The following is a 14,350-nucleotide window of genomic DNA, read 5'->3' as shown; positions in this document are numbered from 1 at the left end:
TATACAGGACTCCTTCTGTCTCATTCCCTTTCTTGCAAACAGATTTTGGATTTTTGCAATGTGGATATACCCATTACTACTAAGCTATACACTTAAAATGGTTAAGATGGTAAGTTTTATGTGTATTTTACTATAATTTAAAAAATTAAGCAATTTTGGAAATCATAAGTTAGCAATCCATGCTAGACTCCCCAATTTCTTTTTGTTTTCTATATTCCTGATTCATAAAATCCAAATATCTTGAAATTGGTGTTCTGCAGTAAATTGTGGTAAGCTGCCTTCTGCTGCCAGCAATTGACATTTTATATTCGCATCCATGTGTTCATACTTGTATGTCTTACTTGTGTGTAGATGCATACACATATACACACATATATAAATACTCATGAACAGGTCCAAATTAGATGCTGAGAAAGTACAATTTTTAAAAAGCAAGATGCCCTCTCAGTTTTGTTTCTCATCTTCAGAGATTAAAAACAAAACAAAACAAAACAAAAAAAAAACAAAATGTGAATATCAACAGTCACAAAATTAAATAAACCTCCTCCCCCTTGCTAAGTAATCTCATGCAAAGGCCTCTTTGTGACCCAGCCTGTTCTTCACTTTGTACTCTTTTATGCTATTGAGAACCAGATCCAGAGAGGACGATGGGGAGTAACCCCAATTAGCACAGCCCTCTGGAGGCTTCTCAGCTCCTCGTAGTGTCATTCGACTCTGTGCTGAGGCAGAGGCACAGACACCACAGATGCAGAAACATCCATCTGACCTTCCCCTCCAACCCTATCCCCTCCCACCGAGAGCCAGCTTTTAAATCACATGTGATAACTATTTAAATGACAGGCACAGCCCACATTTCTGCCAGTGATGTAATGCTGACTCTCTTACAGTATTTATCTTAAAACAACCCAACCACATATGGCTCCATGCCGCAAACTCAAGTTCTCTGTGAGAACATTGTGAACTAACCTAATAAATTTAAGCCTTTTCTGGGAAAACTTGGAATCCAATGCAGCCAAAATGTGGAATTTACATCTCAAAGCAAGAAAGCAGCTGGATTTTTTTTTTTAAGGAAACAAATGAGAAAAAAGAAGAAGAAAAGAAACTGGTACTGCATATGAGCTCAAGCAAAATGTCAACAGCTTTCAAATTAAGAGGAGATGCATGTCAAGGAGAATATAAACCACTACAGGTCTGTGAACATACAATCTACAAACACTGAAATAGAGTACTTCTGGGTTTTTGTCTGTTTGCTTGTTTTTAATCAACTGGCAAGAAAGCCCACATTGTAAGGGAGAGACTGTCCAAACCATGCTGGCTTTAGCGCCTTAGAGAGAAACCCAGCCTTCCAAAAGCTGCCCTGGACACACAGACACCACCAGGGGCCAGGTGATGATCCTGTGGTCAGCCTGCACCTTTCACAGTGAAGCTTGGGAACACGTGTGCCAAAAGAGGGGGGACTGGAATATGCAGATCCAGACTCACCCAATTCATGATTAAATCCACTGAAAACATAAGCGTTTTTCTTTTTAATTAAGATGCCCAAGCTCTAATTGCACAATCTAAGAATGAACTAGTTGAACATTGATCTTATAATGCCTGATTTCAGGGCCTGCAAACTTAAATGCCTTGAGAGACCAGCCAGGAAGCAAAATGAGTTAAGTGGCCAAGAGTAAGACAATATGGCAGGGTGGAGCCTGAGGCCACACTGCAGAGGACAAGCTCCACCTAAGGCCTTAGGACACACTGCAGAGGACAAGCTCCACCTAAGGCCTGAGGCCACACTGCAGAGGACAAGCTCCACCTAAGGCCTGAGGACACACTGCAGAGGACAAGCGCTACCTAAGAACATTCGCACTTTCTTTTCAAACATGTATCTGGACCATAATGTTGATGGGGTGCATATGTGTCACCTGTTAGGGATCCCCACTTAGCATTTCCACCTATGTGACCTTGTTTGCTCTTAATAACCTGATAGTAGTTGAATGATCATCAATGTCCCACAGAGAAGCCACTGCCAGCTGCCTACACCGCAGCTACTCATCTTCCCAGCCCCTTCCTCCCTCCCTGCTGGCAGGAGTCTCCTACTTCAGAGGTGGCAATGTCTGGTTCTCCTGTCACATGGCATGTGACACAAACCATAGCCAACAAGACCTGAGGGGACTGCAGAGGGTCTTTGGAAAAAGGCTTCCCTCCCTAATAAACACAGGTGAGAGGAAACACTGCCTTCCTTCCTATCCTTGGCCATAGTCAGGGGAGGAAACGGAGCTTCGGAATGGTGCAGCTCTCAAAACGAGGAGGGGACATCCAGAGGTGCACAGAAGTCTCTGGAGAGCCCCGGCAGAGTTGAGCCAGCTGAACCAGCTTTCCCCTTAGGGGAGGCAACCAGGCTCCTTACTGTTTAAGCCACCCTCACGTTATAAGCCACCCTCATGTAGGTTTGTGGCACTTGAAGTTGAAAGCAAAATCTTACACCACATGCCCATGGACATAAACAAGACAGCAACGCCCAGCAAGGTCATGTGACTTGCTTAAGGTTTTGCAGCCTGCTAGCGGCTGAGGGGGACCACACCCAGGCCTCCAGACGCCAAACCCCGCATTCTTCCCAGGGAGCCACATGACCTCTCTTGCTTAATCTATTAACTTCACTTAGCAGTTAACTGTTGGGCACTGACTATACCTACTCTAGGTGCCAAGGACACAGCAGAAAACCAAGCAGAGCCCTGCCTTCCTGAGGCTGACTGTCCACTGGAAAAATAATTGGCAATCCCCACTCACACGAAGCCAGGCCTGCTCTAAGCACTTGATGTGTATTAGGGGTAAAGCAGAGGAACCTGGGGGTGCTTCGAGCCCCCACCATTCTGCTGTTGCCCTCTGTAGCCGCACACTTGTCTTCATGGGTAGAAAGCATAAAGGGACCTCAGAGCCATCTCCATTTGCCAAATTAAAGAGAAACTGGTCCTAACCTTGGTCCAGCTCCTTGGTGGTTTAGCAACATGCTGCTGCAGGACTCAATTCGTCCATCCTTTTCTGTCCCGAAGGCTGAAGAAGCCAGAGGATCAAATACAATTACCGGCAACAGTTTAACTCAACCAGTAATAGGGCTGGCTAAGAGCAGAGTGGGGAAGCCTCAGAAGTGACACAAGCCTAGTGTTGGCTCTCTGATGTCCCTGGCACTTGGCCTCAGGAAAGGGCCCTGTGTGCCTGTCAGTGGCAGTGGGAGAAGCAGATCAGAGTGAGGGAGCAGAGTCTGACCCGGGCCCACCTGCTGACCCAAGGCAGCCCAAGGCAGGGGAAGCCCAGCAAATGGGACATGGACACTCAGGACCAAGCCCTCAGGTGATGGCCTAAGAATGCAGTTAGCATCCGCACATCCTAGTGGGGCCACTGGGTGGCCAAAGTATGGGGGGGTCTCCAGGGCAGGCAAGCCCCAAGTTTGGGGAGGGCCAACGAAAGCTGTGCTGGGAGTGGGAGTCAGGTCCTGGTTGGGGGTGAGAAGGCAGGGGCACTCCAGGGACTGGCATCACCCGAGTGTCTACTCACTCCCAGGCACACCGTGGCAGATGGCACATGGCAGGGCAGTGTGTCTGAGCAGAAAGCAACACACAGAGATGACTGAAGACAAGGATGTTAGGGCCACACAGGCAAAGGCAGAAGAACAGAGGCCCAGATGAGAGTAGGGTGACAGGAGGGAAGGGCCGAATGAGGGGCACCCTAGGCAGAACTGAAGCATTATTGTCGGGAGTGGCAGAGGAGTTGAGGCAACACCAGTGAAAATCATCATCAGAGACTTCAGACAGGACCGGCACGGCAAGGCAGCAGGGCAGGCTTGGACACAGGCATTGGGCAGGAGCCCGAGCCACCCATTAGCTGAGATGGACACAGTGATGTGGCTCGTGTGGCCACAGATGAATGACTGAAGAAATGAATGGACAGGACAGGTTTTGTTTGCAAGATCAGGCCAGGCAATAGCCTCAGAGGGCACAGAGGCTCAAGCTTTTATGCCAGCTGAGTAGCAAAACTGAACAACTCTTCACCAGCACTCAGAGGGCATAGGTGTTGGCAATGGCAGGTGAGGGGCTTGCCTTCGGAGTTGGGGTATCTGTCTCTTAAGCAGGCAGCAGGCCACTGGGAAGAAAAAAACAGAGGCTCTTGGGCAGCCAGTCAAGGTCTGTTTTTCTGTACATGATATGCCCAGGGCAAGGAGAGGGGGTGGCTGCAAGGTGCACACGCCCTGAGTCGTGCAAAGCACCAGATCAACAGGGAATTGCGATTTGCCTCTGTTCCTTCACACACATAGCATCACTCATGAAGCACCTTGAAAGACAGATCCCTTCACACTGTGGGATGATCCAGGGTGACGATGACACAGAACATGAAATGAATAAGGAAGTTCAGGCTCCCATGGACACTAATGAGGCAGAGGGCGCACCTTTGTGAACAAATTGGAGAGCTGAGCACTTTGTGTCCAGTTGGACTCTAGGCCACCTGAAGATTCCACTCACTCCAGGGGAAAATCAGACAAGGTGAGCTGCCTGCAACCAGCAGCACTTACCTAGGCTTGAAGGATTAAAACCTAGCCCACAGGAACACGATGTCTGCTGTTGCCATCACCCCCATATCTCTCTCAGGAACACCCAAGTTTACCAGGCCATTAAGCACTAGATTTAGCCATGAAGGGGTTCTAGAAAACTGATTTATGGGCAAGTCCTTTCAGAACACAGGTGCCCGGAAATCCCTGAAAGGAAGGATTACTCTAGAGTATGGATGTCCAACCTTTTGGCTTCCCTGAGCCACATTGGAAGAAGAAGAATTGTCTTGGGCCACACATAAGATACACTTACACTAATGATAGTTGATGAACTACTGAAAAAAAAGAGTCTGTGCATACTTTTCATGATATCTGCCACCACAGAGAAGCAAAAAAGTCCTTAAATCCAAAGGGTTGGACACTGGTGCTCTAGAGTGAGATGGTGATGGTGTCTTAAACTTACTTCCAACATGATTTTGGGGAATGATGGTGAAAAATTACAGCTTCTCATAGATGTCCTAGTTTACTTTTGTGATAAGTCCCACAAAACTCAACTCAACTCAAGACTTATTCTTTGTCTTGAGTCTACAATTTACAAAAAGAGCACCTCCATCCTCAAAGGGCCCATGCACATAACTTGAAATCTTAAGCTCTTTAAAAAGTCCATCTTCACACTCAGTAAATAAATGACCCCTTAGATTGTGACAATCAATTTGTCCCCTTTGGCATTCCGAAAAATCAAGAACAGATATTATTATTTGAAGATTGCTTCTGAACACAATAGAGATGAGGTCAGTTAAATAAGAGCCCGCCTCATGCCACCTCCAGGCAGCTGTCAGGCTGGGAGGAGCACCAGGTCTCAGGACTCCTGGCCAAGCCTTCAGTTGACCTGGTTCTTTGTGGCGCAAACACCTGCACAGGGGCTTCTCGTAACTGCCACAGGTCCAGGACAGCACACCCTGTTTCCATTCTTGCTGGACAATGCCAGGTATGGCCCTATCTTTGAGTTACTTTAATGCTAGTTATTATCTGCCAGACTACTCTGTCCTGCATACGAGCAAAATCTAATTAGAAAGCAAAGAAAATAACAAAAGAAGAACTCAAATCCCACAAAGTCAGTTACTATGATTTTTATAGATCATAATGTAGACGGAAAAGTTCTGTTACAACCAAACCCTTGCAAAGATTCCAAAAAAGTCTTATGGTGCAAGTCATAAAGATCAAATATCTCCTCTGCAATTACTTTTAAAAATACCTCAAGGTGGATTACTCAGCATTCTCGCCCACTCCTGTGGCCCGGCTGATGTCAGGGGGAACGGCTGGAACCAGAGGATGCTGTGCAGAGGACGTGCCCAGCCAGACCCCGCAGAAGTCAAGACATGAATTAAAGGCAAAAGGGTAAATGCCCCCATCCATTAGCCCATTAACTCATTTCAATAGCTTTAGAAATTTATCTCCACAATGCTCACTGTCCTTTCTGAGTGTCCATCAACTACCACCAGTAACAAATGCTCTGATTTTTGTCAAGTCACTTAAACCATGCTGTGTGATCATTCTGTCACCCTGGAGATAAACACAACCAGCTGTCATTTGGTATTTGCTTAGTTGAATAATGAAGAATTTCAAGACAATGTAAGAGTAATGCATGCTGTGGAACACAGAAAAATGGTTTAGGCTGTTTCTCTGAATTTCACCATGCCTCAGTGTGCTCTGCTAGGCCACAGAAACTTCTGGAAGGCAACTTTCCACCACTACTGTCCAGATGCAATAAAGCCCAAAAAGGGCACAGTAGCCTGAGAAGCCCACTGCCCTTTGTAGCAAGATGAGACATCTTCGGGAATGGATTATCATGAGAATGATGGAGACTTGCACTCAAACTCAGGGAGAGGACATCACCACTGGCCAGCCCAATGACCATGTGTCAACTTCGTATAGAGATTCATCTTTCCCTTCAGAAGTGGGACATCTCTTGAACTGAAATCCCACGAGTCTGTGACCTTTGGCTTCTCCCTGTTTCTTCCTGCTACTTACAGGCCTGGTGGCAGAGGGTAGGACGGGGAAAGAAGGAGGAGGCAACCTGCAGTGAGCAAATGTCATTTATTGGTAAAAATCTGAGGATAGGAGTCTGAATCTAACGTGGCATTTTACAAGATCTATAGAGACCTACATCCGTACATTACCTCTAGCTGATAAAAACATGTTTAAAACACAATTGGAATTTATATGTGAATAATTTGTTTTCTCAAACTGCAGCTTGATATAATTTCATATTATGTGATAATTCTGAAAGCTTTTTAAAAAAATGTCCTTGTGTAATGGAAAACCCAACAGAATATTAAGAGAGGATGTTTCCATAACACACCGTGTAGAGTGCCATTATGTCAGTGGTGGCATTGCATTATTTTTAAATCAACTGGTTGCTTAACAAAAACATTATGAAGCAAAGTGCACACATGGTACCTAATTTTCATACATTATTAACTCTGCTTGAGGTTTTTGTAGAATTTTTTTTAATCAAGCAAACAGGCATCTGTCCCCATCTGAAATCATGCAAGCTAATTTCATTTTCTAATTCCCCATTGTTTGAAAGAACCCTTTTAAGTATGCAAAAATAAGAAGAGGGACAGTTCAGTTGCCTTTCTATTATTCTTATTACTCTGACTTAGCTAAGTCTCTTTGGTCTACTCCTTCCCTGCAAGGGGACATGGTGGAACACCTCCAGCCTTCAGGCCCTAGTGGTTGCTTGTTTCAGACCATAGTGGGATGGGAGAGGTTAGAGGTCAGCCCAAGAGTGTTTCCCTATCAGTGTAGCTGCCCTCAAAACCTCTTTGTCAGCTCCCCACCACAGACACTGCCAGAGCCCACTGTGTCCCCCAGCCCAGAGGTCACCTGCAGCCTCCATGGACAACTGACCTGCAAATCCACAGCCTCCTACCTGAGCACCTGCCCCTTTCTGCTTAAGGACACCCTGTGGCCACAGGCGGGCACAAGGCCTGAGTATAGGGCAGGCCAGAAGTGTCCAGAAGTTAAGGATTCTAGAAGTGGTCCTCAGTCACTGAGAAATGAGACATGGGGTGCTAAGAACCCCACCCTCCTTCTGCCCACTGAGCCAACTGAGATATGTCCCACACAGTCCCCCTGAGGACACCTGGGATGGTTAACGTGCCCTTTTAGGCTTTCCTCCCTTGGCCTCCCTTCCTAGTCCTCACTTCCTTCATGGAAGGACCTCCTAAACAAACCACCTGTATACCTAAATCCTTTCACTTGGGGACCTAAACCACAAGCATTTTAAATGCTTTGAAAAAAACCACATGTTAACATGAGAATTCGTTATGTGTAACTCATTATCTGGCCCTCTCTTAACCAGACGCTTACATTGGTTTACGTGTCTACATATTGGAAGGCCATGGCGGATGTTCAGGATTACTCCCCACCCTGCAAGGCACTTAAAGAGGCTGGAATGAGAAGGAATGATCAAGTAAGTTTGAGTATAATCTTGTCACATTTTTATTATATATGCTAATTCTTTGAAAACCAGTACTCCATACGTGTGACAAACGATACACTCTAGTAGCCAGGGTTTTGTATTATGTTGCTGTCCATTCCCTAACCCTACTGGGGAACAAGGTATCGACTGCACTTCTAACACTCCCAGTGCTGAAGTCGCCTTTGCTTCACCACACCTATATCCTGGGTTTTTCCTTTAATGGGGCTAATGGTAAAACGTCAAAGAGAGGACAGAAGTAACCATTTCCCTTTCCACTGAAGGAGATGCACTGGCCATGCCCCCCATGTACTCCTGGTGTGTGTACCCTTACCATTTTGTAGGTCGTAAGCTATTAGAAGGCAAAAGTAATCAGCACCTATTGATTCTACATCAACTTTAGACTTTAGTCAACATCTATTACCCTGTCGGCACATGTCTGGTTAATAATCATGAACTGTAACAGAGTTTAAGGAGATACTTAAGCAATTTCAGTGTTGGTATTCCAATGCATAATTGGTAACAGAACACTGTTCATGAGCATTTTAAACTAACAGTGTTCTTTAAGTGATTCAAAATGTTTCTTCAATTTACTAGAGTCTTAAGAAAAAGAGAACCATTTTTCCTCTCCCACTTGGTCTATACCTTGTATAAATGCCAAGCAAGCAGATTTGGAACAGTGAAGAATTATTGTACAAAATAACAATAAAACAAGAGAGGAAGACATGGAACCTAGAAGAGCAGTAGACATGACCTGGGAGAAAGGTGGAGACCAAATTTGGGCAGGACGTGCATTCAGCAGCCAGGACAGCAAGTAGCCCACATGGGAGCTAATAAGGCTTCCAGAGAGTGGGCTCCACAGAGGGGCACTGGAGCGAAGGCCTGGGAGCAGGAGGAGTAAATAGAAGTACATTCCCCAAGGCTTCAAGGAGAAAAGAAAGAGAAGAACACACTCCCAGAAAAGCAAAAGGCTGAACAACAGCAACAAAGATTATAGGATATAACACAGCTTTGTGGTGCATAACAGTTACAGAGTCCAGACAATAAATATTGCTTATTGAATCAATTAAAAATAATGACATAACAATGATGGAGAGAGGGAAAGTAGTAGGGAGTGAAGAGTGTTGAGTCTTCATCTGTATAGCAGCATGAAAAAATAATGTCAAATTTTAATAAATCAAGAAATAGCAAAAGTTCATTATTTAGAAATAGAGAAAAAATACATAAAGAAATTGCTTAAAATATGTTCAAGCTGGTTGCTTATGGATAAGAGGACAAGGATTGAGGGCGGAGAACAGGCAGAGAGTGTTATTTTTCATTATACACCTTCAGGTATTATGTGATATTGAATTATGTTCATAATACTTTAATAAACAACTTAAATTGATTGGAGAAAGAAAGCACACACAGTGGATGTGGTTAACAACAGATCAAGTTCTACAGAAAACCAAACTAATGATTCAGAAAAATCAGTTCATGTCATTTTTCTGATACCCAGAGGAAAAGATGATAAGCAGAAAGCAGAAACTTGGAAATTCAACACAGGAAATCCAGTCATCTGTAGGATAGGAACTGTAAAAGGAGGGAGCGGAGCAGATGCAGAAAAGACAATATGAAAAAACATTACAGAAGGGCTACAATCCTTCATCCCATCAGCTAACGAAAGGCTCAGTACATAAGGGAAGGATCGACCCTCAGGGAAATTTAAGAAAGGAGATCCATAACAAGGGCACTAACCTTCCCTTCCACACCACTAAATGCAAGTGGACAGGCAGGACGCTAAGACACTGACAAACTATATGTTGGGTGAATAAAAGACTGCATGACAACAGAGGAATGGACGAAGAGAAGTAAGGAACTCAGTCAACCAAACACTAGGACAGGACAATGTCCACAGAGTCTGAGAGTAAAAGATGGTGACCCAAATATTCTATGTCAACCAAGACATTCCAAAACACGCAAATATTCAGAAAATATAACATCATTCCCATCCTTAAAAAATAAATGAATAAATGACTCATAAAAGAGTTCCAGCCTCTTGAGAATAATAAAGGAAATTATGTTAAGTAATGTAACAATGCCAAATGAGTTATACAAATGCCAAAACTAATTCTTGAATGAGAAAATATAAAATGCAAACGAGAAGATAATCAAGCTTATCTGGATCCAAAATCCAGATTCACAATCAATTTAAAAATTGTAAATAAATGCAAATGCCTAATGAGCTTGTGGAAAAGAAGAGCTCAACTTCATTAGCAATTAAGTTGATACAAATACAAACAATAAGATATAACTTATGATTCATGAAACTGATAAGGACTAAACAATTACAATACTCAGCCTTTGCAAGGGTTTGAGGAAAGGAATATTTTATGTTGGTGATAGGAGTATAAATTTGGGCCTTGGGAATGCAATTTGGCAATGCATATTTTAAAGCACTAAGTATATGCTTGTTATGACCCAGCACTCACACCCATTGGGATTTATCTTGTGGAAAATAACTGGTTGTTAAGCACAAAGATACATGCAAAAGGATGTTCACTGCACTGGTTTTTACAATAGTAAAAACTGTGGAACCACTTAAATACCCATAAGAAGAGAGTTCTTTAAACTATGACATATTCTGTACAGATTGATTTACCACTTGAGGTGTTGATAGGGAAAATAAATGGCTGCAGTAAACAAAAACCACAATTCCCATCTCTTCATCATTAAAAAGCATATATTTTGGGGAAGAGTACAAGAGTCAGCTCTGAGGGACTGTTTGGCAGTGGAGCAGGTAGAAACAGGAGAGCACACACAGGCCCCACCTAGAAGAAAAGACACAAGCAAAAGGACAGCACTGGAGGAGGGGCTCAAATACAAAGGCCAGGCCACCTGCCTAGGGACACACATGTGCAATAGAAGCCACTCAGAGAGAGAAGGAAGAAGGGAGGTGATGAACATAAGGGGCAGGACAGTGGTCATTCCCGGCCAGGGGCAGGCTATGCAGGGAGGAGGCAGGAAGGCCCTGGGTATGGAAGTCGCTCTGCTTCTTAGGCTGGGAGGCAGTACCTAGGCTGTTTGTGTTGTCGTTATGCTTTTGACACATGTGTATTACAGATACTCCTTTTCAGCTATCAAATATTACATAATAAATTTTTTAAAGCACAGAAGTGATGACACTTCATTTTTAGTCATGGCTTTGCCAAAGGGCTCTAATATATGACTTGCTTCCCCACAAAATATCTGAAGAGGAATAAAACCACTATTGATCACAAATGTACAATTCTCCAGTATGCAGCTTGTCAGAGAAAATGAAGTGCTCTTCAAAAGTATTATTATGACACTTCTGCAAATTTAATTGAAATCTCAGCTCTGAATACCCCGGGGCCATGGTTGAGCCTGTTCAGTTTCAGGATCTACCAGTAGCTCACAAAGAACCAGAAATTGAACGTGTGTTATCACTGCCATTTACTTCTGAAAAGAAATGTTAGCAAACCACGACAAAACTGTCATGAACTCTATTTCTGTAGAAGAAAATGTATCTATAAAAGCCTTAGCCATGAGGCGGAAGGATCACTTGAGCCCAGGAGTTCAAGACCAGCCTGGGCAACATGGAAAAACCCCACTCCACAAAAAATACAAAAACTCACCAGACGTGGTGGCACATGCCTGTAGTCCCAGCCCCTTGAGGGGCTGAGGCAGGACGATGGTTTGAGTCCAGGAGGTCAAGGCTGCAGTGAGCCGTGACTGCACCACTGCACTCTAGCCTGGGCAACAGAGTGAGACCCTATCTTAAGCAATCAAGCAAGCAAGCATCGGCCGTAGGTTTGGTACAAACAAAAGCTGCTGTGCCCAGCTCCCAGGTATCTTTGTCATTAGCTTCAATTCAGTTTCAGGATGCTGTCAGGAATTGTCACTCCTGGGAGGAAGTGTGCTAACAATGAAATTGGAGAATGGATGCAATGCTCAGAGCCATCTTACTATTTTTATTCTCCTGACTCAAAATACACCTACCACCAGACAGACCCAGGGGACCCAGGCAGGGGCTTTTCCTGCCACATGAGCACTGCTTTGTGCTCTGAGAAAGCACTGCTGCCAGCCTCAACAGCTGCTCTTGTGAGTTTCCTATGCAAATGAGGCCTCAAAAAGATCTGACAACCTTAGGGCCACATCCCTTTGGTTATTCCACTTCCCCTACTTACAGATTCCCACATCCAGACACCGAAATAGGACTGAGGAGCAACGACCTGTTTGGAATTGAGGCTGGTCCTGGGAGCAGCAATGGCAGATCTCCAAAGTGCTGTCAGAATGCAGACTCCCAGACCCCACCCAGACTTGCAGAACCACAATCTGCATTCTGACAGATCCCCACGGGACTCCTGTGCACCTTGAACTTTAGGAAGCGCTGGGCTAGAGGGCTTATCTTAAACTGAGGTTTCATAGGGAGCACGGTTTTCAATCAGAGTTCGAGTGGCTTTGAAGATGGGCTGACTCCCATCCCCCAGCCAGGTCTTGCTGTGCCACTGACCAGAAGCCAAACTCAGGGTGATGGCCCCGCCCTCTTCCCTACACTCCAGGGGACCTTTTAGCTAGCCCATTGCCCAGGCAGGGCCCTCTTGCCGGCTGAGGGGTCCCCAGTATTCAGCAAGTAGACAAGGCCAGCCAAGGAGGCAGGAAGGCCAGGAGGGGCTGACAGTCTCCAAGTCCATGAAGGGACTGAAAACCCCTCCAGGGTCCTACCCATGCCCCTCCCATCCCCTATCCCACACACTCACAATGTTCCTGCCACTGCTACCTTTCCTTCAGCCCCTTCTCACCTAAGCTCCCTGGAACCCCCTTTCCACAGTGAACAAACCATCTTCTCCATCAGCCTCCCCTCTGCTTCACCCTAGGCCACCTCTCCCACAAATGCCCATCCACCGCTAGGTGGGTGAGTGAAGTGTGCTATATCCACATGATGGAAGATTACATGGAAATAAGGACTGAAGTGCTGACACGTGCCATGGCATGGACAAACACCGATGATGCTCTGCTCTGTGAAAGAAGCCATGCACAAAGGTCACATACTGTGTGCCCTCCTTTACATGGAATGCCCAAAATAGAGAAATCTACAGCTCAGGGCTGGGGAGGATGGTGGGAAGGGGAGAGTGACAGCTAAAAACAGGGGTCTTCTCATGGTGATGGTTGCTCTGCGAATGAACTACAGGCCATGAACTGTGCACTTCACATGTGCGGACTGTGTGGCATGTGAATATCTCACTAAAACTCATTACAGAATAACGTCTCTCCCCACCCAGATCCCTTCCAGGGCCGCCCTCTCCTTCAGGGCCGAAGAGCATCATCAAGGTGTTACAGAAGTCCACCCAGACCCAGCTTCAAACAGCCTCACCAGTCTCCTCGCCACCCACTTCCTCTCGCCTTGCACTTTACCCTCCAGGAATTCTAAACCCTCCTCAGCCCTACCACCTCATCCTGTTTCCTGCCCAAGCCTACATTCATGCCTGGGGCTTCTGAGCCACCTCACACTAGTCTTCTCTCAGGGCTGGGCTGAGGCTGCCCTCCAGGTTCCCACTAAACAACACCTCACCCCCGGGAGCCGTGGGGGAATCCACATTCTGTCATGCAGCTCCAAAGCTCAGGCAGGCCCCTCTGCTCCCACCCATGGGCCCTGCCCAGGCCTCCAGGCACGCGGCCAAGTCCCAGGTACTACAGCTGCTACCTCACCACAGCACCTGCCAAGGACTCCTCTGTCACTCTGCTCATTCCCCATAGCCACGGGTCCCAGCACCCAAGAGTCCACCCGTCCTCACAGACTCTCAGCCAGCCAAGGCCAACAGGTGCCTGGAATGCAAAGATTGGTAACTCTTCAATTGTCTCCAGCATTCCACTTCCCTTCTCTGGGAAAGATAAAGTCAGCTCCAAGGAGAGTCCTTTCTGGCCCCTATAAGTAAGCAGCATCTTAAGAAGACACTGTGTCCCCATCTCCTGGGTCTGGACTGTGAGCAAAAGTACAATGCATGGTATTAATTACCATAACGGGGAAGAGCAGTGTGGTAGGTGTCTGTCCCCCAAGAAAGGGGGCAAGGGGAGGAAGAGGTATTGGGAATGGTATCAAAACCCCCAGGACTAAGTCTGGATCTTCTTTGCTGGCCAAAGTATCAACACTCCCCACTAAGTGACAACAAGGAGTAGAATTCCTAGTCATCCCAATGGGGCTTCCCTCAGAAACACCTCTAGGATTTTGAGTCTCTTCACATCCATGCACAAGGCACCTAAATTTTGGTGAAGGCAGCTGACATTTACCCTGATGAGTGACAGGCTGAATTATGTTAGTAACCTGGTAGGAAAAAAAC

The 14,350-nt window shown here is 45.7% G+C and overlaps 1 protein-coding gene across 1 annotated transcript in view, besides 1 other annotated feature; it reads right to left on the bottom strand.

Annotated features, from left to right (window-relative positions):
- The window catches only part of DTD1 (D-aminoacyl-tRNA deacylase 1), a 178,591-nt gene that overhangs the window by 25,832 nt on the left and 138,409 nt on the right, over window positions 1-14,350 (bottom strand). The gene's annotated exons all lie outside the window — the stretch shown is intronic.
- Window positions 12,089-12,612: an enhancer, noted in NCBI's record as "H3K4me1 hESC enhancer chr20:18708845-18709368 (GRCh37/hg19 assembly coordinates)". NCBI's record gives its function as "activates a minimal SCP1, AML or CMV promoter by ChIP-STARR-seq in naive H9 embryonic stem cells {active_cell/tissue: H9 hESC(naive)}" and the evidence as "EXISTENCE:reporter gene assay evidence [ECO:0000049][PMID:30033119]".

The sequence above is a fragment of the Homo sapiens genome, chromosome 20, assembly GCF_000001405.40.
Source record: "Homo sapiens chromosome 20, GRCh38.p14 Primary Assembly".
Classification (NCBI taxonomy): Eukaryota; Metazoa; Chordata; class Mammalia; order Primates; family Hominidae; genus Homo; species Homo sapiens.
This window is presented reverse-complemented; position numbering and strand designations above follow the sequence as displayed.